This window comes from Homo sapiens, chromosome 3 (assembly GCF_000001405.40).
Source record: "Homo sapiens chromosome 3, GRCh38.p14 Primary Assembly".
Classification (NCBI taxonomy): domain Eukaryota; kingdom Metazoa; phylum Chordata; class Mammalia; order Primates; family Hominidae; genus Homo; species Homo sapiens.
The window spans coordinates 123873710-123901059 of record NC_000003.12 but is presented as its reverse complement, the minus strand read 5'-3'; the positions used below and the strand labels follow the sequence as shown (position 1 = coordinate 123901059).

General features: G+C 41.8%; 2 protein-coding genes across 13 annotated transcripts in view, besides 1 other annotated feature; both read left to right on the top strand.

Moving 5' to 3' along the window:
- The window catches only part of CCDC14 (coiled-coil domain containing 14), a 76054-nt gene extending 60170 nt beyond the window's left edge, over positions 1 to 15884 (top strand). For 2 of the 4 annotated variants that reach the window (XM_047448748.1, XM_005247715.5), the window contains one exon: positions 3447 to 3755. In XM_047448748.1, coding sequence (XP_047304704.1) covers positions 3447 to 3627 — 181 coding nt within the window. In that variant the 3' untranslated portion in view covers positions 3628 to 3755. Of the gene's footprint in view, positions 1 to 3446; positions 3756 to 13595; positions 13795 to 15274 lie in introns of those variants that run through there. The other 2 variants (XR_007095720.1, XM_011513081.3) reach the window with 2 other exon arrangements.
- Positions 16689 to 16848: a silencer, noted in NCBI's record as "silent region_14650". NCBI's record gives its function as "represses an Ori minimal core promoter by ATAC-STARR-seq in GM12878 lymphoblastoid cells {active_cell/tissue: GM12878}" and the evidence as "EXISTENCE:reporter gene assay evidence [ECO:0000049][PMID:35858748]".
- Positions 16728 to 27350, top strand: part of MYLK (myosin light chain kinase) — a 274284-nt gene continuing 263661 nt past the window's right edge. For 7 of the 9 annotated variants that reach the window (NM_001321309.2, NM_053028.4, NM_053026.4 and 4 more), the window contains exons 1-2: positions 16728 to 16854; positions 24443 to 24501. The gene's annotated coding sequence lies outside the window, so the exon portion shown is untranslated. The remainder of the gene's footprint in view (positions 16855 to 24442; positions 24502 to 27350) is intronic. The other 2 variants (XM_047448184.1, XM_024453532.2) reach the window with 1 other exon arrangement.

The following is a 27350-nucleotide window of genomic DNA, read 5'->3' as shown; positions in this document are numbered from 1 at the left end:
GGGCTTCACCGTGTTAGCCAGGATGGTCTCGATCTCCTGACCTCACGATCTGCCTGCCTTAGCCTCCCAAAGTGCTGGAATTACAGGCGTGAGCCACTGCGCCTGGCCTACTCTGTCTTCTTATATTTTTTATAGTTTTACTAGCTATTCTTTGGCATTCTTTCTTTATATAAACTTTAGAATCATTTTATCTAATTCCAATAAAAACTCTGTTGAAATTCTAATTGGAACTACATTAAATTAATATATTAAAATTTCTAGAATTAACAGTTTTATATTAAGTATTCTCTTCCAGGAACATGATATGACTTTAAATCTATTCAAATACTTTGTGTCTTTTAATAGTTTTTCCACAATTAAAAAAATATAAGCCTAGAGTTGATCTTGTTAAATGTATAAGTATTTAAAACTTTTGGCACTATCTTAATCTGAATAGATTTTTATTAGCAACATGAATTATTATGTAAACATAAGAAAGAACTTTCCCGATAGAACGTCCAGTCGCTGGAATTCGTAACTGAGTTGAAGGCTCCCTCTCACATTACCAGGAAGGAAAAGTGGATATACACCTTTCTAAGACTGTTCAGTTATGGTCTTGCTGAGAGATAGGGGGAAGGACCAGAGGAGTCCTGGAAGACCTACTCAGAAAAGGAATCTGGAATGTTGCTGTTTTAGGCAGCCTCCTAATGTCAGGCTTCTGTTCATGTGAGGGCTCTTGACTTAATTAGCCAGTTTTTCCAGTGGGTACATGGGTGTGTGGGAGACCGTTATAAAACATGCTGGGATAATTCAGAACAAAAAATTCCCAAAGTATTTCTTCTTTTTTCTTTCTCTCTTAAAAATTCTACCTTGTTCTTATGATGTTGTTTGGTTGTTTTGTTTTTGCAATTAATAGCTTTTTATTTCCACAGATAAGTAATGCAATAAATGTATTTATTAACCCACATTGTGTCAAGCTCTCCATTTATTGCTTGGATATATAGAAAAAGCCAGACCTAGTCCTTGTCCTCAAAGGCTTGCAGTCTATTTGAGGATACACAAATGGATTACTCAGTATGAGGCACATGTTATTGGAGCACAGAGGAGAGACATCTTAATCAAACTGGTGAGGTTCGGTCAGTTTCACAGATAAGGGATCATTCAAGCTTGGAAAAGACTAATGAGCCCTGAACTACCATGGCATGTTCAGAAAATAGTGAGGTGCTCCCATGGCTGGAGTTGACATTACGATGAGTAGCTACAGAAGAACCCAGAAAAAAGATCAGGAGTTTGGTCAGCTACAGACGTTTACAGAGGAGACTTCGTTAACAGATTTATGTTGAAGAAAATCATTCTATTAGTGTGGATTAGAGGGACAAGACTGATGACAGGAAGCCCAGTTGGAAGGCTGCCACAATAGCCTAAGGGACAGGTAAGGCAAGTGGTAGTGAGAACTGGGGAGGAGAGGAATTTGCCATCTGCATAGGTAGGAAATCCCATGGGCAACTGATGAGGCAAAGGGAATGCAGAAAGACCCAGGTTTCTGGCCAGGACTGCTGGATGGGTGTCAGTGTCATTAACCTGGGAGCCAGGAGGCTGGGCAGGTTTCCCGGGGACGAGGGGAAGAGGGCAATACTGGACATGAATTCCAGGTGAAGTCCAAAAGCTGGGTACTCAGAAGAAATAGACTAGAGATTTACATTTGGGGATCACTGGTGGTATCTGAAACCATGTGAGGGCATGAGATGAGTTAGGAAGCATGCAGAGCTAGGGTGGAGTACTCAAGGCTTAGTTCATGTTCTCATATACCAACAGCAGTTATCAAGGACAACTTAAGCTAGCAGATGAATACTTTCTACAACAGAACTAAGAACCTCTGATAAGTTTTTAATTCAGAAGCTAAACCGATTAAACAATAAACATCTTAAAGTCAGAAAAGCTAATAAATAAGCTCTTTCCATTTATACTTCTACTCAAGTACTACTTGTTAAAATAACTTCTGACTTTGTTAATAAACAATTATAAACATGAATGCAAAAAACTAGGTGAAAATGTACTGTTGTCCTGGCATGGTGGATCAGGCCTGTAATCCCAGCACTTTGGGAGGCCAAGGAGGGCAGATCACTTGAGGTCACGAGTTTGAGACCAGACTGACCAACATGAGGAAACCCAATCTCTACCAAAAAAAAAAAAAAACAACCAAACAAACAAAAAAACCTACAAAAATTAGCAGGGCATTGTGGCAGGCACCTGTAATCGCAGCTACTCAGGAGGCCGAGGCATGAGAATCGCTTGAACCCAGGAGGTGGAGGCTACAGTGAGCCAAGATTGTGCCGCTGCACTCTAGTCTGGGTGACAGAGCAAGACCCTGTCTCAAAGAAAAAGAAAACGTACTGGGATATTCACAAGTGCTGGATTCAAACTTAAGTTTTTCACTTCACACCTGTTTAGGATTCATCAGGTGTAGATAATCCGGACCACCATCTCAATCCTCCACTCACCTATAAGTTCCCTTGGATTGCACCACCTCTCCAGCTGCCACTCATCATGTCTGCCTTGGCTGGGACCATGGGTCACAGCTCACAGTCTCTCCAACCTGGCACTGAATGAAGACTGCACAGATAGAGGTTACCAAAAAAGAGGCAATGCAGAATAATGGAAAGAATTTTAGCCTACCAGGGGCCAGAGAACTGAGTTTGGCATGGCACGATTAAGTAATTGGTACTCCACAGAAAAGTACTCACCATTTGTGGAACAATTATTCTGTGTCAAACACTCTGCTGATATGCTTTGCAATGTGCGCTCTTGTGCAACCCTCACAACAACCTTATGAAGTGGATGGGGTTTATTTATCGCACTTGTATCTGTTTTTTAACAATTAGGAAATTCGGGTCCAGAAGAAATTAAGTCACTTGTGCAAGGTCACATAGCTAGTTAATAAGAAAGCTTCAGTGACTCAGATGTTCACACTAAACTATAGTCCCTCCACACAATTTGAGGTAGAAATGCACTACTTATCCTCTACCTTCTGCTTTGTCTTTTGCAAAACAAGGGATTTTTCATAGATGATATCATTTGGCTATAGATTCTCATTATGTAGGAAATTGAGTTTATAGGCTTTGTATACATCAGAGGTCTTACATATAAAATATCTCCAGATTTACTTTATACAGTAGATAGATTTCTCAGCCATGATTTGCATGTGCTCATTCTGTCTGTAAACATGGCCTTTGATGTGCTGGGTTTTCAGATCCCTTCCCTCCCCTCTGCCCAGATCACCTATTGTTTCTAAGATAAACTTCTACAGTGTTTTTAGAATGGAGGTATAGGGCTCTTGAGGGTAGCAAACGGAGAACCTATAGGTTTATAAAAGTAGAATATGAAGGAAGGATGACAGATAGAATGTAAAATAATAGAATGTAATCCCAAGTTTATATTTATTTATGTTGTCATTTCTATTCTTTCAGACTTTTTAAAACTGTGGACTTAAATGTTCTGCAAAGTCTTACACAAAAGCCCAATACAGTACATGAACTACGGAAAAGCAGAACTGCTCTGAACAAGGAAGAGGTGGGAGATCTGAGTCCTGGCCCCAGCACCCACTTCAACTTCAGTCACCTCCTTGGAATCTGGGGTTCTGCAGCTTGAAATAATCAGTTTGGATTTTAAACTTATTTGTAACATAATAATAATCCTAGGAACTTTAAAATAATATTTTGTACTAAATTTTAGAATTATTATAATAAGTGATCTAATAAAACAGTCTTTTCCTGAAAGATGCCCAGTAAATTCTCAATCAAAGTTACTTAGGGGATTACAGGGTGTGGCTGTGAGGAAGATGATAGATACATTTTATTTTCTACCTTCTATAATGTTTGTTTTCTTTCCCTTTTTCTTGCAATTAACATTTATATTTTTATGGTTAAAATATTAATTTAAACTTTTTTCAGATTTTGGAATTACATTCTCATTAATGGCTTTGTAACAAGAGAGACTCAGGTTGAAATCCCAATGCCATCACTTACCAGTTGTATGATTTTATCTCCTCTTAAATGCAGGTGGGAGGTGGGGAGTAATTATAGAATTTTGGGGTGCTGATCTAAAGTGATAACAATTGTAAAGACTTAGTACATGGGGAGGTAATACATTTTCCCTGCCCCTGCCCACATGACTTTTCTGTACTTTAAATCGCTATTATCTTATTCTTATATAATAGGAAAAGTTAACCTTTGGTTAATACATAAGATAATAAGATTTAAAGAATAATACATAAGATAACAGGATTTAAAGTACAGAAAATCAGTGTACAGTGAATACTTATGGGAACAAATCTACAAATCATATTTTAAAGCTTAGTATGTCTTTATTTTCATATGTTAATACTCCTGATCAAGGAACTGATCTTTTTTAAAAAAGATTTTAACCCCTTCCCACCCCCACCAGCGTCTAGTAGCTACCATTCTACTATCTGCTTCTGTGAGTTCAACTTTTAAAGATTCTACATGTAAGTGAGATCATGTGCTATTTGTTTTTCTGTGCCTGGCTTATTTCATGTAACATAATGTCCTCTAGGTTCACCCATGTTGTTGCAAATGAAGGATTTTCTTCTTTTTGAGGTTGAATAATTTTCCGTTGTGTGTCTATATATACCATGTCTTAGTTTCTGTTGCTTATAATAGAATACCTAAAACTGGGTAATTTATAAATAAAAGGTATTCATTTATTATAGTGTGGAAGCTGAGAAGTCCAAGGTCAAGGGGCTTCATCTGGTGAGAGCCTTCTTGCTGGTGAGGTCTCTATAGAGTCCCAGGGCAGTCCGGGGAATCACATGGCAAGGGGACTTAGCGTGCTAGTCCTCTTCTTATAAAGCCACCACTCCCATGATAACCCATTAATCCACTAACCCATTAGTCTATTAATCCATGACCCAAACACTTCTTAAAGACCGCATCTCTCAACACTGCCACATTGGCGGTTAAATTTCAACATGAGTTTTGGAGAGGACAGATATTCAAACCGTAGCACCACATTTTATTTATTCATTTATTTGCTGTTGTACACTTAGGTTGATTCTGTATCTTGGCTATTGTGAATAATGCTGCAATGAGCATGGGAATGCAGCTATCTCTTCAACATAGTGATTTCATTTCTTTTGAATATATACACAGAAGTGGAACTGCTGGATCATATAGTAATTCTACTTTTAGTTTTTTGAAGGGCCTCCAAACTGTTTTCCGTAATGTTGTACCAATTTACATTCCCACCAACAGTGTATAAGCGTTCCCTTTTCTCCACAAAAGAGTAATCTCTAAACAAATAATTAGCCTTTAGAACAGAAGAGCAAACTGAAGCACAGTTGTCTAATATGCAAATTGTTTTGTTTGCTGGAGGTTTTACCTAGGCTGTCAGTAGTTCTCAACTCTGGTCCCACATCAGAATTACTGGGGAAACAAACAAAAAAATTATTCCCCAGGCTTCATCCTAGACTAACTGAATCAATTTCTGGGGGTAAGACCCAGGCATACATGTTTTGTTTTGTTTTGTTCTGTTTTGTTTTGTTTAAAGCTCTGCAAGTGAGTCCATTGTGCAGCTAGACTTGAGAACTAGCAGACTTTTAGCCTCAGCCCACCAATGCTGATCTGGATAGATTTAGTACATTCATGAGCTAAGGTGAGCTAATATATTATTCAACACCCATGTAAGATTAATAAATTGTGACATCTTACTGTCTTTTCCTTCCCTTTCCTTCTCCTTTGGCTTATTTATTTATTTATTTTTAAACAAGGACCAAGCAGTGAAGGGGGCCAAGCCAGGGAAGGATTCAGAGACAGGAAGGAAGTGCAGCGGATGTGCATAGACAGATGGGAGATCCAGACTTGCAGAATAAACTTTTTGCAAAGGTAGTAAAAATAAATGGGCACCCCCTCCCCACCAAGCCAAGGAAAATTTTCTACAACTAATGTCACTTTGGGGCAGTGGGGGCTAACTTACATTGTTTCAAGAGGCCTAAGGAAACAGACAATTTCTCACTGAAGGAAATTTATTTTGTCTTGACACACCAGACATTATAATGTGCTAGGTTTGTGTGTTTGGACATGGTCTTCTTCAGGTATTTGTGCAGATCCTCTTTGTCTCTAGTCACTAGCCAGAGTTTAGGGGAACTGGTACAATCTAGCCCCCATTAACTCTTGAAACTGACCAGCTCAGGCTCCTTTTTAGAACGAGACTCCAAACTAAGGAGAAATTTTTAGAAGTGGAATAAAATGTACATAATAGGAAATGATACAAACCAACTTACAAAAATCAGTTATATTTAAGTATGTTAGCAATAAATAATCTGAAAAAGAAATTAAGAAAACAATTCAATTTTCAATAGCATCAAAAAGGATAAAATACTTAGGAATAAATTTAACCAAGGAGGTGAAAGACTTGTACAGTGAAAACTTATTGCTAAAAAGAAATTAAAGAAGACATAAATAAATGAAAGACATTCTGTGTTTATGCATTGGAAGACAATAGTGTTATGATGACAGTATTACCCAAAGTGATCTACAGATTCAATGCAATCCCTATTAAAATCCCAATGTTATTGCAGAAATAAAAGGAACCCATTCTAAAACCCATATGGAACCTCAGAGAGCCCCCAATAGCTAAAACAATCTTGAAAAAGAACAACAAAATTGAAGGTTTCATACTTCCTGATTTCAAAACTTACTACAAAGCTACAGTAATCAAAACAGTGTGGTACTGGCATAAGCACAGACATATGGGCCAATGGAATGGAGAGTCTAGAAATAAACCCTTGCATTATATGGTCAGCCTATTTTCAACGAGGTTTGAAATCAATGGGTAAACAACAGTCTTTTCAACAAATGGTGGTGGAAAACTGGATATCCACATGCAGAAGAATAAAGTTGGACCCTTACCTTATACCATGTACAAACATTAACTCAAGATGGATGAAAGACCTAAATTTAAGAGCTAAACTGTAAAACTCTTAGAAGAAAACATAGGGAAAATTTTTATGAAATATTGGATTTAGCAATAGTTTCTTTGGTATGACATCAATAACATAGACAACAAAGCAACCTACAGAATGAGAGAAAATATTTGCTAATCATATATCTAGAAAAGGATTAATAGTCAGAATATGTAAAGAACCCTGCAATTTAATAACAAAACAACCCAATTTTAAAATGGGAAAAGGAATTCGATAGACGTTTCTCCAAAGAAGATACTCAAAAACAATGCTCCACAATTTTAGTCATTAGGGTAATGCAAATCAAAATTACAATGGACTACCACTTTATACCTGCTAAGTTTATTACTATCAAAAAATAGAAAATAATATATATTAATGAGAATATGGAAAAACTGGAACCCTTGTGCATTGCTGGTGAGAATGTAAAATGGTACAGCCATCGAAACAGTTCGGTGGTTTCTCAAAAAAGTTAAAAAAAATAGACATATGACTCAGTAATTTCATTCCTAAGTATGTTTTATTTTTAAAAGAATTGAAAATGGTCATTCAAACAATACTCATATGCCAATATTCATATTATGCATTATTCATAATAGCCAAAATGTAAAAACAACCCAAATGTCCATTAACAGAAGAATGGATAAACAAAATAATGCTAGATATGAATATTACTCAGCTATAAAAAAATGAAGTTTTGATATATTCTACCTGGATAAACCTTGAAAACATTACACTGAATGAAATAAGACAGACACAAAAGGATAAATATTATATGATTACACTTATATGGGGTATCTAGAATAGGCAAAATGATAGAGACAGAAAGTAGAATAAAGGTTACCAGGTGTTGGAGGGAAGAGGAAATGGGAGATGTTGCTTAATGTGTACAAAGTTTCTGTTTGGGATTATGACAAAAGTCTGGAAATAGATAGTTACACAATATGGTGAATGTACTTAATGCTACTAAATTGTATACTTTAAAAATGGTTAAAATTGGCAGGGCACGGTGGCTCATGCCTGTAATACCAGGTCTTTGGGAGGCCAAGGTGGGTGGATCACAAGGTCAGGTGATTGAGACCATCCTGAGTAATGTGGTGAAACCCCATCTCTACTAAAAATACAAAAAATTAGCTAGGTGTTGTGGCACGCACCTATAGTCCCAGGTACTTGGGAGGCTGAGGCAGGAGAATCACTTGAAACTGGGAGGCAGAGGTTACAATGAGCCGAGATGACACCATTGCACTCCAGCCTGGGCAACAGAGCAAGACTCCGTCTCAAAAAAAAAATGGTTAAAATTATAAATTTTGGGTTATGTATATTTTGCTACAATAAAAAAGTGAAAAAATTAACATGACAGGGAAGAGTTGTGAAATGGTTTGAATTTGTGTCCCCACCCAAATCTCATGTCGAATTGGAGGAGGGGGCTGGTGGAAGGTGATTGGATCATGGGGGTGGATTTCCCCTGTGCTGTTCTTGTGAAAGTTTAGAAAATTTGCAGCCTGACCATACGGTAGTAAAGAAAAACCCATTTTCTGGACAGAAAGTCAAGCTGGCTGCAGAAATTTGCATGAGTGGAGCCAAATATTAATATTGAAGACAATGGAGAAAATGTCTCCAGGGCAGTTCAGAGACCTTCACTGTAGCCCCTCCTATCACAGGCCTGGAGGCCTAGGAGGGAAAAATGTTTCATGGGCCAGGCCTAGGGCCTGGCTGCTCTGTGCAGCCTCAGGACATGGCACCCTGAGTCCCAGCTGCTCCAGCTTCAGCTGTGACTAAAAGGGGCCAAGATACAGCTCAGACAATTGCTTCAGAGGGTGCAACCCACAAGCCTTGGCAGCTTCCATGTTGTGTTGGGCCTGGGGGTGCACAGAAGGCAAGAGTTGAGTTTTTGGGAACTGATATGGTTTGGCTCTGTGTCCTCACCCAAATCTCATCTTATAGCTTCCATAATTCTCATGTGTTGTGGGAGGGACCCAGTGGGAGATGATTGAATCATGGGGGCGGGTCTTTCCTGTGCTTTTCTCAAGATAGTTAGTGGGTCTCACGAGACCTGATGGTTTTAAAAATGGGAGTTTCCCTGCACAAGCTCTCTCTTTGCCTGCGGCCATCCATGTAAGATGTGACTTGCTCCTCCTTGCCTTCCATCATGATTGTGAGGCCTCCCCAGCCATGAGTAACTGTAAGTCCATTAAACCTCTCTTTCTTCCCAGTCTTGGGTATGTCTTTATTAGCATATTAGCATTGTGAAAATGGACTAATACAGTAAATTGGTAACAGCAGAGTGGGGTGCTGCTGAAAAGATACCTGAAAATGTGGAAGCAACTTTGGAACTGGGTAACAGGCAGAGGTTGGAACAGTTTGGAGGGCTCAGAAGAAGACAGGAAAATGTGGGAAAGTTTGGAACTCCCTAGAAACTTGTTGAATGGCTTTGACAAAAATGCTGATAATAACATGGACAATGAAATCCGGGCTGAGGTGGTCTCAGATGGAGATGAGGAACTTGTTGGGAACTGGAGCAAATGTGACTCTTGTTATGTTTTAGCAAAGAGACTGACAGCATTTTACCACTGCCCTAGAGATTTGTGGAACTTTGAACTTGAGATAGATGATTTAGGGTATCTGGCAGAAGAAATTTCTAAACAGCAAAGCATTCAAGAGGTGACTTAGGTGCTGTTAAAGGCATTCAGTTTTATAAGGGAGGCAGAGCATAAAAGTTCAGAAAATTTGCAGCCTGATAATGCAATAGAAGAGAAAATCCCATTTTCTGAGGAGAAATTCAAGCCTGCTGCAGAAATTTGCATAAGTAACAGGAGCCAAATGTTAATCCCCATGACAATGGGGAAAATGTCTCCAGGCCATGTCAGAGACCTTTGTGGCAGCCCCTCCCATCACAGGCCAGGAGGCCTAGGAGGAAAACGTGGTTTCATGGACCAGGCCCAGGATCCCTGTGCTGTGTGCAGCCTGGGGATTAGGTGCCCTGTGTCCCAGCTGTTCCAGCTGGCTAAAAGGGGCCAATATAGAGCTTGGGCTGTGGCTTCAGAGGGTGCAAGCCCCAAGCCTTGGCAGCTTCCACATGGTGTTGAGCCTGCAGGTACACAGAAGTAAAAAATTTAGGTTTGGAAACCTCCACTTAGATTTCAGAGGAAGTATGGAAATGCCTGGATGCCCAGGTGGAAGTTTGCTACAGGGGCAGGGAAGTCATGGAGAACCTCTGCTAGGGCAGTGTGGGAGGGAAATGTGAGGTCAGAGCCCCGACACAGAGTCCCTACTAGGGTACTGCCTAGTGGAGCTGTGAGAAGAGGGCCACTGTCCTCCAGACCCCAGAATGGTAGATCCACTGACAGCTTGCACCATTCGCCTGGAAAACCACAGACACTCAATGCCAGCCCATGAAAGCAGCCAAGAGGGAGGCTACATCCTGCAAAGCCACAGGGGCAGAGCTGCCCAAGACCATGAGAACCCACCTCTCACATCAGTGTGACCTGGTTGTGAGACATGGAGTCAAAGGAGGTCATTTTGGAGCTTTAAGATTTGACTGCCCTGCTGGATTTCGGACTTGCATGGGGCCTATAGTCCCTTTATTTTGGCCAAATTCTCCCATTTAGAATGGCCATATTTACCCAATGCCTGTACTTTCATTGTATCTAGGAAGTAACTAACTTGCTTTTGATTTTACAGGTTTATAGGTGGAAGGGACTTGCCTTGTCTCAGATGAGACTTTGGACTGTGGACTTTTGAGTTAATGCTGAAATGATTTAAGATTTTGGCGGGCTATTGGGAAGGCATGATTGGTTTTGAAATGTGAGGACATGAAATTTGGGAGATGCCGGGGCAGAATAATATGGTTTGGCTCTGTGTCCCCACCCAAATCTCATCTTGTAGCTCCCATAATTCCCATGTGTTGTGGGAGGGACCTGGTGGGAGATGATTGAGTCATGGGGATGGGTCCTTCCTGTGCTGTTCTCATGATAGTGAATGGGTCTCACAAGATCTGATGGTTTTAAAAATGGGAGTTTCTCTGCACAAGCCCTCCCTCTGCCTGCTGCCATTCATGTAAGATGTGACTTGCTCTGCCTTGACTTCCACCATGATTGTGAGGCCTCCCCAGCCATATGAAATTGTAAGTCCATTAAACTTCTTTTTCTTCCCAGTCTCACGTATATCTTTATCAACAGCTTGAAAATGGACTAATTCATGAACCTCCACCTAGATTTCAGAGGATGTATGGAAATGCCTGGGTGTCCAGGCAGAAGTCTGCTGCAGGGGCAGAGGCCTTATGGAGAACCTCCACTAGGTTTGTGTGGAGGGGAAATGTGGAGTTGGAGCCCCCACACAGAGTCCCCACTGTGGCACTGCCTAGTGGAGCTGTGAGAAGCAGGCCACCATCCTTCAGACCCCAGAATGGTAGATCCACCAACAGTTTGCACCATGCACCTGGAAAAGCTGCAGGCACTCAATGCCAGCCTGTGAAAGTAGCCACAGGGGCTATACCCTGCAGACCCACTGGGGTGGAGCTGCCCAAGGACTTGGAAGAGCATCCTTGCATCAGCATGCCCTGGATGTGAGACATGAATTCAAAAGAGATTATTTTAGAGCTTTAAGATTTAATGACTTCCCTGCTGAGTTTTGGATTTGCATGAGGCCTGTAGCCCCTTTGTTTTGGTCAATTTCTCCCTTTTTTTTATTTGAGATTGTGTCTCCCTCTGTTGCCCAGACAGGAGTGCAGTATCACGATCTTGGCTCACTGCAGCCTCTACCTCCTCAGTGCAAGCAATCCTCCTGCCTCAGCCTCCAAGTAGCTGGGATTACAGGCACGTGCCACCACACTTGGCTAATTTTAAAAATATTTTTAGTAGAGACAGGGTTTCACCATGTTGCCCAGGCTGGTCTTGAACTCCTGACCTCAAGTAATCCACCTGCCTTGGCCTCCCAAATTGTTGGGATTTCAGGTGTGAGCCACTGCACCTGGCTGCAATTTCTCCCTTTTGGAATGGTAGCATTTACCCAATGCCTATATCCCCCTTGCATCTTGGAAGTAACTAAGTTGTTTTTGATTTTACAGGTTCATAGGCAGAAGGGATTTATTTGTCTCAGATGAGACTTTAGACTGTGGATTTTTGAGTTAATGTTGAAATGAGTTAAGATTGGGAGACTATTGAGAAGGGATAATTATATTTTGCAATGTGAGCAGGACATGAAATTTGAGAGGGGTTGGGGTGGAATTATATGATTTGGATTTGTGTCCCCACCCAAATCTCATGTTGAATTGGAGGAGGGGCCTGGTGAGAAGTGATTAAATCATGGATCATGGGGGTGGATTTCCCCCTTGCTGTTCTCATGATAATAAGTGAGTTCTCACAAGATCTGATGGTTTAAAAGTGTATGGCACTTCCCCCTGCATTCTCTCTTTCTCCTGCCACTATATGAAGAAAGCACTTGGTTCCCCTTCACCTTCTGCTATGATTGTAAGTTTCCTGAGGCTCCCTAGTCATCCTTCCTGTTAAGCCTGAGGAACTGTCAGTCAATTAAATCTCTTTTCTTCATAAATTACCCAGTTTCAGGTAGCTCTTTATAGCAGTGTGAAAACTGACTAATGCAAGTTGAAAGAAAAAGAAGAGCCAGATAAAAGTGAGTGAGGGAAACAGAGCCAGGAAATCTTAGAAGTCCAGCCACCATATATATTTTTTGACACTACTCAGAAACAACAAACGGGAAAGCTTTGTGAAGTTTGAAAAACTGTCTGGACCAAATCTCCTTTTAAAAGTTCAAGAAAACAAAATTCATGTAAAAATGATCAACAAAAAAAATACTAAGGTCAACTCTCATATAGCTACTACAACAAAGTGAATAAAGATCATAATAACCTCCAGAAAGATATTCTCAAAAAAATTAAAGCTATAATGTCCTAGAAAAGCTAATACACACTGAGTGACATGAAACATGAAAGAACAACATACATCAGAATTAGAGAAACTCAGAAATTAGAACAGAACTCACAGAAGAATTAAACGTTTTATTTTTTATTTTTTTTTGGAATTAAACATTTTAAAAAGCATTTGAGAAATAAAGATTGACCTATAAGGAACACAAGAACACATAAATATAACTAATAAAAACTTAAAAGAAAATAAGGTAAAAAGGAGGGAAATTTATAAACTTAAAAACAAATGAAGAAAGAAATTAAAAAGATTTAAGGGAAAGTGACAAATGTTGAAGATAGACAAAAAAGGTTCAATATGCAGATAATAGAAGTCTCCAGAGAAGCAGTCTAAAGCAATCCAAAACAGAACAAATATTTAAGACTTTAATTGAAGAAAATTTTCCTGAAATTAACAAAATATATGTATTTGAAACCACATTTTGAAAGAAATACACACTGTTTACTTTCAAACTAGAATGACCAACAAACATTCTAATAAAATTACTGGATTTGAAAGAAAAAGATAAAGTTATTTGGGCATCTAGGCAAAGTGAGAAGGTGCCGTCTACAAACCAGAAAGAGGGCTCTCAACAGATACTGAATCTGTTGGAGCCTTGATCTTGGACTTCCCAGCCCCCAGAACTATAAGAAATAATGTTTCTTGTTTATAAGCCACTTATTTTGTGTTTTTTTTTTTTGTTGTTGTTGTTATAGCAACCCAGCTGGACCAAGACACCAAGTAGTTTGAATCCAACAAAATTGACCTTCAAGTAAAATGGCATGAACAAACTGTAAGCAACATGCAAGAACTCAGAGCATATTCTTTCCATGAGCCCTTCCTAAGGAATCTAGTAGAGGACAAGCTTTCAGACAACCAAAATGACTAAAGATACATAAACATAAGGAACTAATGGTAAGCATTAAATATATATTTGAACTTTAATTAGGATTAGAATTGTAGAACTGTAAAATTAAGACTAAATTAGGGTTAAATAGGAAGATTATGGTATAGATGGCTATAGAAGCTGATAATTTAGATAGAGTATAACTATAAAAGATGGATAGCATATGCAAAAAAAACTGTTTTCAAGAATCAAAACTGATGATGGTAGTATTAATATTGTTATTCTGAGATTATTATTATATGTTTAATGCAAACTAAAGCAAATTAGTAAATTGGGATATTCTAATTTCATCCTCCCTTTTGTCCTTGAGAACCAGAATTCTCTACATGAAAGAAAAGAGGTCCTAATGTAATATATGTTAAGTAAAAACTACAGTCCTGAAATTAAATTGGAAATAATATAAACTGATGAAAATATTATGAAGAATAATATTTCTCTAGAATATAAAAAAATGAAGTATTCTTTAGTAGCTCTGTCTATTGAAAAGGCCTAGAAACAGTTACCAACCTAGTAACAATGAATACTCCTAGTGCTCATATTGTTATCTTAAAATTTCAACAAAAGAAACTAGAGCTTCTGGCCAGGCGGGGTGGCTCATGCCTGTAATCCCAGCACTTTGGGAGGCCGAGGTGGGCAGATCACGAGGTCAAGAGATTGAGACTATCCTGGCCAACATGATGAAACCCCGTCTCTACTAAAAATACAAAAATTAGCTGGGTGTGGTGGCACGTGCCTATAATCCCACCTATTCAGGAGGCTGAGGCAGGAGAATCCCTTGAACCAGGGATGTGGAGGTTGCAGTGAGCCGAGATCGTGCCACTGCACTCTAGCCTGGTGACAGAGTGAGACTCCATCTGAAAGAAAAGAAAGAAAGAAAGAAGGAAAGAAGGAAAGAAGGAAAGAAAGAAAGAAAAAAAGAAAGAAAAAGAGAGAGAGAAGGAAGGAAGGAAAGAAAAAACAAAAAAACTAGAGCTTCTTGGAGAAATGGCTGATTCCAGGTTTGAGGCAGCAAATGTACAGATGTGCCTGGAACATCTTGTCATATCAGATAGCAAGGAAGCTATCAAAGACTTCTAGGGTCTTTGAAGCTCTTTGCACACTAGTGAGAGAGAGAGAGAGAGAAAAAAAAAAAGACTACTAGAATCTTATCAAAAGGAGCCAGGAGCCATATTGAAGAAGCTCCTACTGGCCAAAGATGGGACAATTTGAGCTCTAATATCGTAGATGGAAACCTATCAAATATATTTAAATTCATGAATTTATAATGATATTAAAGAAATCTAAGAATGACAGAGAATCAATTCCTTAACTTGAAAACTGGGTAATTTTTTTAAAAAAAAGCAGGTATTCATCGTGCCTTTCCTATCTCAGGGTAATCAAATAGTAGATGAGAGGAAGCATCTCCTTATCCACTTATGAACTAATAAATGAAAACAAAATTATTAGAATACCATGATTTTGCAAACTTCAATTAATTAATGAATCTAGGAATTGAGCATCGACGGCTGTTAACCTCAAAAAAGAGCAAACACCAGACATCATGATCATGTACCTCTTGAAGAAAAGAACACACAACCATCTATAATCTTACAAAAGACATCAAACTTCAGTCTGAGGAAGACCCTGGATCAGCTGCCAACTTGCTGTCAATACAGAGGACAGAGAAACATGCTGAATTGCCTCATGAATGTGCAACCCCCAGACTCTGGAAAACCTCACAGATCAAGGGCTTAAGTTATTTAACAAATAATTGTAAGGAAAAGACTGAAAAGGCAAATCAAATTAAAAAAAAAAAGAGTGGGGGGAGGGGTAAGGTGCACCCTTGGAAGATACCAAGAAAAACAAAAGCAGCAGAAGTGACTACATGAAAGTCAGGTTAGTGGTTACTTTTGGGAGGAGGGAGAAAGGGGGTTGTCATTGAGGTAGGGCACATGGAGAGGCTCCTGGGGTGGCTGGCAGAGTTCTATTTCTTGATCCAGGTGGTGATTACAAGGATGTTCCCTTTATAATAATTCACTAGTCTATATATCTATATATTTGTTTTTTGTGGTTTTCTGTATTTATGTTTTATTTTACAATTAAAAAATTTTTAAAAACACTCCTTAACCTGCAGTAAACAGTTTTTTTAAAAAAAACAAAAGAAGGTCCAAGTGAAGAGATCAGAAGCTATAAAATATTTCATATTGGGTGCAAACTAAATATAAAGCAAGCCAAAACCAGAAACACCTCCTCCCCCTCCCCTCCCCCCCCTCCCCTTTCCCCTTTTTTAATTTAAAGAACTTTGTAGGTATCTTCCAAACCAATGAGAGATTCTTAACACACACAAAGGGAGGATGTCAGAGGAACCATGGGGCTGAGTTGCACCACTGGAGGATGTCTGAAAAAAACTACATAGACAACCTTCCAGCACTAAAACTTTAGCCCCATGGTTCCGCTGACATCTTCATTTTACAGATTAGAAAACTGAGGCCCAGAGGCAGCCAGTGTCTCATGCACGCTCACGAAGCTAGCATCAGACCCCGACCTAAGGCCTAGGTCTCCCAGTGTAGGACTAAGACACGCACCAAGACAGTACCAGCCCGCTGACCGCCGCCTGCGAGGAGTTAACTGGGGCGGTGCAGGATAAGTGCGAGGGGGGCCCGGGTCTGGCGCTAGGTTTGGCTGCGGATTCTCCGCTCCGGACTCCGAGGCAGAAGGCGGGTGGGCGTGGCGGGAAGGGCAGCAGGTCCACTCCCCGAGCGCTATGCAAATGTCATGCAAATCAGTGCATGGGGGCTGGAGCGGGTGGTTTGAGTCCTGACCCCGTAGCGCCGCGCTCTCACTCGCTCTCCTCAGCGCGCGTCCGCTCTCCGCTCTCCCACTTGCTCTCTCTCTCGCCGGTTCGCTCACCCCCGCCCCGCCCCGCCCCGCCCCGCCCTGCCCAGTCCCGGACGCGCCTCGCGGGCTCCCCGCGCCGCCCGGTCGGCAGCAGGGCGCTGAGCGAGCTCGGAGCCCGCGCTGTGCGCCTGCGGCCGGGGCGCCCCGCCGAGCGCCGGTGCCCCGGCTCCCGGGCCGCCTTCGCCGCGCGGGTGAGTGAGCCCGCCCCATGCTTTTGTCCAGGCGCGGGCCCTGGAAGTCAAGGCTCCGAGGGTGGGAGTTCTGGGTGGGGGCTGGGACCCCCACCGTCTGTGCCTCCCGACTCCCCTAATGGAGAGGGGCCCCGGGGTGCGGCGAGGAGTCAGGGGCGTAAGGAGACGACCCCAGTGACGCCAGGCTGCACGAGTTTTCTTTTGGGGAGATGAAGTGCTTGGGGACACTGATGCGATTGCCTTTCTAGGAATCATCCGAAGGGGGTGCCTTTGATTTGAGGGGCGGAGGAGAAGCGGACCCTTCTCCCAGCTCCCAGACCCTCGCTAGAGGACTCGGTGACGGCCTCTGGGAAGGGGGTGCCACGTGAAGGTCCTTCCAGCCCAAATGTGATTCCGGGAAGGTAGGGCGGGGAAGGCGGCCCGCGAGTGCCAGACCTGGCCATCCCAGGCGAAGCTGGGGCGCGGGCTTTGCAGACTTGTTCCTACTCCATACTCCTCATTTAAGCTCCTTACCTCGCTCTGCCTCCTTCGCGTTAACTGGGGTCCCATTGTTGAGGGACCTTGTTCGCCGATGATTGCAGTTGGAAAGTTTTGGATAAACTTCTCAGGAGATGTGAGTTGTCAATGGTTGAGGTAGACCCCTCCCTGGAACTTATGGAACTAAAACCCTTCAAGACCCAAAGGACTGAATTTCTAGGAGTGGCATTGCAGATGTGAAGATGGGCTGATGGGGAAATGGTTTCAAGGATATATATTTTTTTTAGATTGGGGTGTGTGTGTTGGGGTGCGGGGCACTTTCTATTTCGTAGCCAGAAGGAGAAGACCCAGCTCTACTAGAGTCTAGAGGGAGTAAAATTAGCTGTTGTGATTCAGGGAGCTGGGTGGGTGTAGGGAAACACCTGGGCAGTGGGCATGATGCCAGACCTCAGGCCGTTGGTTTTTACCATCCCTCCTCTCCCCAAGTGCAAAGACCAGAGTATATGCAATGACCCGCCCACCCCACAGCCTTTGAGAGCCTGCCCTGGAGCTGCATCCCCCTTCCAAGAGAGGCTGTGTTCTTCTCCACCTGAATGGAATACTTTTTGTCAAAATGCACTTATCAATAAATTATTTCCAGATGGTGGGCTTAGGAGGACCATTTGGGGAACCCCGCCCACACTTCAAAGAATCAGGAATCAACAATGCAAGTCTCTGGGAGAAGTGTAGGTGCATCTGGTGACTTTACTAGGTTCCTACAAGGCATTTAGGGTTCTAATAGAACTGTTTTCTTTTCTCTTAAATTCTTGACCTCCTTCTCTCTTCCGTGATTCTCTTAGTCTCTTCCCCGCCTGCACACTGTGGGACTGTGGAGGATGATGCTGCTGGCACCACAGTGCTCTAGGGCAGCATGGAATTTTCCTTCCTGCCCAGAGTGAGGTTACCCCTTTTTCTCCCACTCTCAGTGGGCCAGGAGCCTTGGGTCTGGGAGGAACCTGAGCAGTTGGTCCTGGGTCCGGAGTGGTTGGACTCTGGATGCTGGATTGGGTAGCGGGTACTCTGGGGACATGCACAAGAGCTTTTTTTGCCAAGATGTGCAGGTCTGTCTCATTGTTCACTGATGATACAAAGGATGCTGGACCTCATTTGCAGCTAAGCATGAGCTTGGAGAACCACCCCACAGTGGGGAAGCATTTATGCTGGTTTATCTCCCATGTTCAGTTTCTTTTGTGTAATAACTGGCTAGCTGAGGAGGAGGGTAGCTGCAGCATTGTAGATGTTTCCTTGTCTTATTTTTATTTTTATTTTTTATTTTGAGACAGGGTCTGGCTCTGTTGCCCAGGCTGGAGTACAGTGGCGTGATCTCAGCTCACTGCAACCTTGACCTACCAGGCTCAAGGAATCCTCCACCTCAGCCTCCTGAGTAGCAGGGACTACAGGTGTGTGCCACCACACCTGGCTAGTTTTTTGGATTTTTTGTAGAGATGGGGTCCTACCATGTTGTCCATACTAGTCTAATGGGCTCAAGTGATCGCCCACCTCTGCCTCCCAAAGTGCTGGGTTACAGGCATGAGCCACTGCACCCAGCCAGAGTAGTTGCTGTTTGTGTGAGGTTTGCTCACCCCTTCATCAGGGGCTGCTTCCCCAGGGGCCAGATCTTAGAAAACATATGCAGAGCAGACTAGGCCTTGGAACATTCCTAGGCTAACTGGTAAGGCCAGGTGGCCCCACCTGCTGCCTGAAAATGGTAGACAGACAGCTACAGTCACTGCAGAGGAGGGGCTCCTGGCTGGCAGGTGGCGGGGGTAATCTGCTGAGAAGGCTTGTCAGAGAAGGAGGTGACCCAGATGGTGCAGAGGGGAGAGGCCTTTGAGTTCCAAGGGTGGGGAAAGGTTCTGGGTCTCTGGCTAGGGAGATCTTTGCTGGTCTCAGAGGCATAGATTGTGAATGCGCTGGGGTCACCATATACTCAGTGTCTTTGAGAATGACCCCTTGCTTTTATCCTCAAAATATAAGATGAGCCTAGAGTTTGAAACACAACTAGTTGGCTTGTCTGTCTTTTAGGAAGTTCATAAGGTGGGGTGGGGGTTTCAGAATGCAGCCTTGCTTGGGGACATGGGTACAGTGTCCCATGAGTATGGGGTGTCTTATTTAGTATCTTTCTGAGAACAATACTTGGGAGTCTGGAAATATAAGCCTACTTGGAAGCCCAGCTGCACCTCTCACAGCTCAAACCAACCCACACAGGCTGGGAGATTGTTCATTCTTAAAAGCTTCCTGTCCTGTCTTTTCAGCAAATGTAGTAAAATTTAGAAACAACACTTAAAAAGTATCCTTTCCCAACAAAAGACAATGTCCTCGCTCAACTTGGCCAGCAGAGGGTGCATGCAGAGGACATGAGGCAGGGCCATTTGCATGGAAAATGTCCATGTGGATGCTTAGGCCTGAGCAGGGTCTATTGGGTGGCCTGAGTGCTCAGAATCAAGGAACCGTCCAGCAGTGAGCCAGAGTGGGACAGAACGATGTCACTGTGATGAGCTCCTATGCCATGTGACTTCTATCTCTTCCCTGTGCTCCCCCAGCCTCCTACCTTACAAGCAGGCAGACATGGTTGTGCGGGGAAGCAGTGCCCATACAAGCCACGCCCCTCTCCCACCTGCACCATTCTGCAGATGGATTCTCTTTATTCTTCCTTGAGTTTTGGCTGCACACTTTTCCATTCGTTTGATGCCAACAGGTTGAGCAAATGCATTCCCCTCACAAACTCAAGGTGGGTGGACCTCCGTATTTGCACTGCGGGCCAACAGGTGCATCCCTCCTCCTTGTTGCATGCACCTGGTGTGTGAGGGCTGCAGCCCCCATGAAATTTACTGACAGCCAGCCCAGTCAGCTGGGGCAGGAGGAGAGCCAGCAACAGTTGCTGCCTCATGGGCTGGAAGGTAAGGCTGTGTTTCCAGATGCTCCCACCACCTTCTTTTCCCTGCCCTCCTGCTCACTGTACTTCAGTGTCTGAGGGTGAATGGGCACCCCACTAGGGAGCTGTGGAAATTTTTGTGTAGATCCAGCTTCTTAGATTTCCCACGTTGTCCCCATCCCCCCTCTGTTGGTACTTCCTTGCCCCCCTTCCACCCTCTGCTCCTCTCCTTCCCTGGGTCTTCAGTGCAGAGCCCTCTGGAGACAGAAAGCCCCTTTGGAGACAAAAGAAAAGGGATGAGGAGAGGATTTCCTTTTCTTTCAGACCTGCTTCTTGATTTTTTTTCCCTTGGCTCTGGGCGCTCAGATCTGATGCTAATTTGTTAATCCAGGACCTTATGGGTTATTTCTCATAATCTTTGGGGGAACCGAACACCTGCAACTTGGGGCTTTTATAGTTGAGGATGCTGTTTACCTTTCTTGTTTTCAGAGATGAGGATTTCTGATGTATAGTAGGTCTCATTCAGGTTTCTGGCAGGAGGAGGCAGCCAGGCAGAATGTGATCTTTGGTGTTAAACTTGGGTTCAGTTCCATCCCATTCACTTACTGGCTGGGTGTTCTTGGGCATGGGTTTTAACCTCTGTGAGCTGACTTGAGTTTTGTCATCTGACAATGAGGGCGGTTATAAAAATTAAATGAATATAGGAATATAAATAGGCACAAAACAAAGAATAGCTTTTATTATATATACCGGGCAGTGTTCTCCAGGTCTATATAATGACTTGTAAATCAACCAGCAGACACTAATGATGTCTACTTTCTATTGAGCTCTGTAGAGGCTTATAAAACAAAGGTAAATGTGGGCCAGGCACGGTGGCTCACGCCTGTAATCCCAGCACTTTGGGAGGCCAAGGCAGGTGGATCACAAGGTGAGGAGATTGAGACCATCCTGGCTAACGCGGTGAAACCCCGTCTCTACTAAAAATACAAAAAATTAGCCAGGTGTGGTGGCGGGCGTCTGTAGTCCCAGCTACTCGGCTGTAGTCCCAGCAACTCGGGAGGCTGAGGCAGGAGAATGGCATGAACCCAGGAGGCGGAGCTTGCAGTGAGCCAAGATGGCGCCACTGCACTCCAGCCCAGGCGACAGTGTGAGACCCCGTCTCAAGAAACAAACAAACAACAACAACAAAAAACAAAGGTAATGTGTCTATGCTAAGAGACTCTGGGTGGGTAGCAAGAGAGCTAACACATAGGTAATTAGAAAACAGGGACAACATGCAATTTCCAAGTTTCATTAACAGAATTAAAGGATGACAAGAAATTCAGGGGCTAGAGTGATGCAGGAAGGCCTCAAAAATGGAGAGGAGGAAGGGAGGGTAAGCATTTGCCAGGAGAGAGGAAGGCAGGAACATTTGGCTCCGGTGTCTGAAGGCTGTTAGCTCCTTCCTTGCTGGGCCCTGGCACAACACCTTTGACCTTGCAGCGCACTCCCAAACATGCAGGTGTGCTTGTCCTGAGGTTTATTTTGGGGGTGGTTTTCATTCTGGCCTTGTTTTCCCTCTGCTGCCAATAATATTTCTGAAACATCTGAAATTGTTTTATTTTATACTCGATCAAAAATATTAAGAGGCAATTGGGTGGCCAGAGTGAAAGCCCAGAGGCCCGTAGAAGACTTTTGGGTTTCTGGGGCTTTGTGTTCTCTTTTCATGCCTCATATATTGTAGCTCACTTCCTAGTTCTGGAATCACAGGGTGTTAGGACTAAGGGTCAGGTCCACTTGACCTTTGCATTGGACTGAAGAGGAAACTCTGGCCTAAGATGCCAAGTGGTGGCTGGGCACCGTGGTTCACGCTTGTAATCCCAGCACTTTGGGAGGCCAAGGCGGGTGGATCACCTGAGGTCAGGGTTCAGGACCAGCCTGACCAACGTGGTGAAACCCCATCTCTACTAAAAATCCCAAAATTATCCAGGTGTGATGGCAGCCTCCTGTAATCCCAGCTACTCGGGAGGCTGGGGCAAGAGAATCACTTGAACCCAGGAGCAGAGGTTGCAGTGAGCTGAGATCATACCACTGCACTCCAGCCTAGGCAACAAGAGCAAGACTTCGTCTAAAAAAAAAATCCAAGTAGTAGAGCCAGCATCAGCCAGAGTTCTCATCACTACCTATCCTGGTGGAGGATGGTGATGGCATAGGAAGGTGAACGGCCTGACATAGGCAGGAAGAATGGATACACATTGGTTCCCTCATCTGCCCACCTGCTTCTCTAGAGTCCTTTAAGGCTGTCCTCTTTAGTCTGAGGGTCCAATGGGGAGCAGGAGTGAATGTCCTACCTTTATCTGGCCTGTGATCACTGCCATCTGTCTGCTTCAGGGCCCCTGGATACCGAGTGCTGTTCCCCTTTCCTGGGGTCAGACTACATGGAATGTCATCTGAGGCTGTGGGAAACACCAGGAAGATGCCCCGGGTTTGGGGGCTAGCTTCAGCACTGTCTTCTGCTATGTGACGTGGTATCTCCAGGTCTCAGATTGTGCACCTTTAAATGGACAGAGAAGCCCTTCTCTACTCATCTGATGAGGCTGTAGGCAGATGAACACGTGCTTGGCAACCTGTGCTTGTGCTGTGGTCGTAAGGGTAGTGTCCTGCTAGGCACTGTGCTCCTGGAGGTCACCAGCTGTGGTTCATCTTGTATCCTTACTCATAGCCTGGTGCCTGACACACCACAGGTGCTCAGTACATCTGGGTGGAAGGACTGGCTAATGGGGTAAATGGAGGTGCTCAGAGAAGATTCTAAGGGATTTGCTGTGTGCCACTCCATGAGAAGGCACTTTCCACTCATTCACCTCACTTCTTCAGTTATGTCTTCTGTAGGGCTAGGTATACTTCATTCTAACTTTTCTCCTGAGCTTTATGCATCTTTCCAGCCAAGTACTGAGTCCATTCACAGAACATGACTCAAGCAGATGTATTCCTAAACTTCCCCATTGTCCAAGTTAAATTTCCATTTGGTATTTTCCTATTAGTGTCAACAGGGTGATCATTTTCGTAATCACTTGGTTGCTGATCTTGTGGAAACGAGTATGTTCATGAGGAAGCAGCAGGTGGCTTTAGAACGTGCCTGGAGGAACAGTTCTTATCTTGCAACCTGCCTCTGATTACTATCAAAAGCTCCTGCCTTTCCAATAGTCACTCATGGTATACATGATACAATCAACGCAGTTGCTACTGATGTTACCCAATAGTATGTTTTAGGGAGTTCTCAGGCTTCTTATTGTGATTGGGCAGGCACCTAGGGACTCAGCTCCTCCCCTGTGGGCCTGCTGATTATCCCAGGCAGAGAAACACTTGGTTTTACTTTGATATTACTATTTTTTCCTGACCAGACCGTACTAGCTCACACTTGGAGTATTAACTGTGGCTTCTCTGTAGCCCAAATACATCGTACACTTGATTGCTTTGTTGATCTAAAACATAGTCTGACTGTGTCACCACCTTCAGGAACCCCCGGTGGCTCCCTGTTTCACACAGAACAGCCTTAAGCCATTCACAGGCCTCTATAATCTGACCTCCAAGCCCAGTCTCATAGCAGCCACCCCCACACTCCTTGATCCCACTACAACCAGACTTCTTGTCTCAGCCCAATTGATACTTTCCTGTGTCTCTGACTGTGACTGTGAGTTCATCCTCACCTGGAATATTCTTCACTTGTCTGTTTGATTGACAGGTTCTTCTATCCTTAAACATTTGTTCAGGGAATGAGTTAAGTTCCTAATAACTGTCAGATACTGCCCCCAGAGGCTGCCTCTGACCTTTTCAGCCTCAACTTCTCTAGAAATAAGTCCCTGTAAAATTCTTTTTACAGAGACAAGTCATAAATTATTATGGTATGTTTTTATCATTTGTTTAATTTTTCTCATGCTAAAATTTTATATCTGTAACTATACTGAAAAAACATCAAGGGAAGGACATGTTAATGCCTCTGTTTCCTCATAGCAGTGGTTCCAGAACTGGCTGATAACAAAATCTCTTTGGGAACCTTGTTTGAAAAATAATCTATGGCTCCCCAGTCCCAGCCCAGACTACCTTGGTGGGGTCAGGGAATCTCTGGTTTAACAAAGCTTTCCAGATGTTTGTGATGTCAACCTGATTTGATGTTTCACTATGTAATTGTTTCTATTATTTCTTTGATTTGTGTATTAGGAAGGATTCTTCAAAATTAACAGAAACCAATTCGGGCCAGCTGAAGAGAAAAAATAAAGGTAATAGCATGATAAAAGATGGATTCTTATATTTTCTTTATTCCAAATTATAGCCACTAAGATTCGTATCACTTTATAGTTTCTCAGGAAAAAGCACTTCCTTTCATATAGACAATTTTAGAAAAGTTTCTAAATTACAATATACCTTAATTTTTGAAATTGCATACCAGTTTTTTCATCATTATAATCAAAATATAAAGATCCTTCTGAACTATGATAATGTGATAACTGATATAATCTATCAGAGTTACATATGATTTCAAGGTGAAATGCTGTTTTTCATAATCTGTGTTCATGATTTTTGAATGTTGATGCATTCTTGCCTTCCTGGAATAAACACTTAGTCATAATGTATAGTTTTTTTAAAAAAAAAATACCCCAGTGACTTTGATTTTCTAATATTTTATTTTGGTTTTTTACATCTGTAGTCCTAAGTGAGATTGAACTATTAATTGTCTTTGCTTCCCTTGGCCAGTTTTGTATGTGCCCACAATTTTGACATTTTTGGCACCTTTAGGATTGACAGAATAAGTCTGAGGAATATTAAAGTCTACCAGGGTTTTGTCTATGTATTCTTTAGATTAAATTTTGAGTTCTAGCTTTTCTATAAGTAATATTGCTAAAAGTTAGATATCTTTTTCTAAAAGTTAACTGGAAACTTTGAAAAAAATAAATATTCAGTATCTACCTGATCATCTGTTGCACATAAATCAGTCACACCAACTTTTCCTAGTTTCGGTGTATTCTGGTCTGGTAAATTTGGCAGTTTCTACTGTCTTTTTATTCCATTGTTTGACAAATGATCAGCATTTTCCCAGGTACACAATAACTTTTCTTTTCAATGCTGCATCATAATAGGTTTTTTTGAAGACTCTTTTTCTTTCTCATGTAAAAAAGTAGATATAATTTATATACAGTAAAATTCACCTGTTTTAATGTACAATTCTGAACAATTAATACATAATTATGAGGAAGTTCAGTTCTGAATTTTGACAAATGTATATATAGTCATATAGGCACCATCACAATTGAGATACAGAAGAGCTCCATCACCTCCCAGAATTGCCTTGTGAGCTTTTGTTGTCTGCTCTCCCACCATGCAGACCTTGGCAGTTACTGATCTGCTTTCTCTCCCTGTGTTCTTTCCTATCTCGGAATGTCATATAAATGGAGTCATGGTTTGTAGGCTTTTTAGTGTGCCTGCTTTCACTTAGCATTAATGTGTTGGAGATTCATCCATGGTGGTGGGTATATCAATAGGTTATTCGTTTTTGTTGCTGAGTATTATTTCATTGTAAAGACGTATCACCGTGTGTTTACCTATTCCCCAGTTGAAGGACATTTGGGCTGTTTCCAGTTTGAGGTGATAATGAACAACTCACTATCAATGTTTGTGAACAGATTTTTAGGTGAACATAGATTTCATTTCACTTGGGTAAATATCTAGGATTGGGGTTTCTGGGAGGTATGGTAAATGTAATGGAATACCAAACTGTTTTCCAAAGTGGCTGTACCATTTTGCATTCCTGGTAGTAATATATGAGGGTTATATTTTCCACATCTTTGTCAGTACTTGGTATTGTCAGATTTTAAAAATTTTAGACATTCTAATAGGTATAGTTTTATCATATTGTGTTTTTAATTTGAATTTCCTTAGTGACTACTGATGTTGAACATCTTTGTACTTATTTGCCAAACATATATTGTCTTTGGTGAAGTATCTGTTTAAGTCTTTTGCCCAAGTTTTATTGGATTGTTTGTTTCCTTATGATTTAGATTTGAGAGCTCTTTATATATTCTGGACATTAATCTTTTATTGGGTACGTGTTTGGCAAATATTTTCTCGCTGCCTGTAGCTTGTCTTCTCATTCTCTTTAACAATGCCTGTTACTGCATGACAGAAGTCTTTAATTGTGATGAAATTCAATTTATCAATTTTTAAAGATGTGTTATGCTTTTGCTGTTATATCTAAGAAATACTAACCTAATGTGGAGTCATTAAGATTTTCTCCAGTGCTTTCTTCAAGACGTTTTACATTTTTAGGTTGTATATTTAGTTCTGATCCATTTTAAGTTAATTTTTATACATGATGTAAGGTATAGATAGAGATTCTGTTGTGCATATGAATGTCCAATAGTGCTAGCACCACAATGAAAAGATTATCCTTCTCTTATTGAATTGTGTTTGTACCTTTGTTGAAAATCAGTTGAGCATGTATGTGTGGTCTATTCTGAGTATTCTGTCCCATTGATTTATGTGTTTATTCTTTCAACAATACCACACTGTATTGATTATTGTAGCTTTATTGTAAGTTTTGAAGTAAGGAAATTTGAGCCCTTCAACTTAGTTCTTTCTTTTCAAAATAGTTTTGGCTATTACAGATTTTTTGGCCTGACATATAAATTTTAGAATCATCTTGTTGGCATCTGCATAAATTCCTGATGGAAGTCTGTTGGTATTGCATTGAATCTATAAGTCAATTTGGAGAGAATTGACATCTTAACAATGTTGGATTTTTAAGTACATAAATAAACTATATTTCTCCATTTAGGTCATCTTTGATTTCCTTATCAATATTTTATAGTTTTTGGCATATACATATTGAACATATTTTGTCATGTTTATAGCTATGTATTTCATGTTTTGGTGTAATTTTTAATGGTACTTTTAGTAAAATTCTGTTTTCCAATTGTTCATTGCTAGTATTTATAACTACAATTGATTTAGTATTTTAATGGATTTTTAAAAATTTAAATCAGAATAAAGTACAGCAAAATGTGTACTTGCAGAGTTTGAAAATCTAATGTGATTAGTAGCTAGCTAAATCTAATGTGTAACTTAAACAATT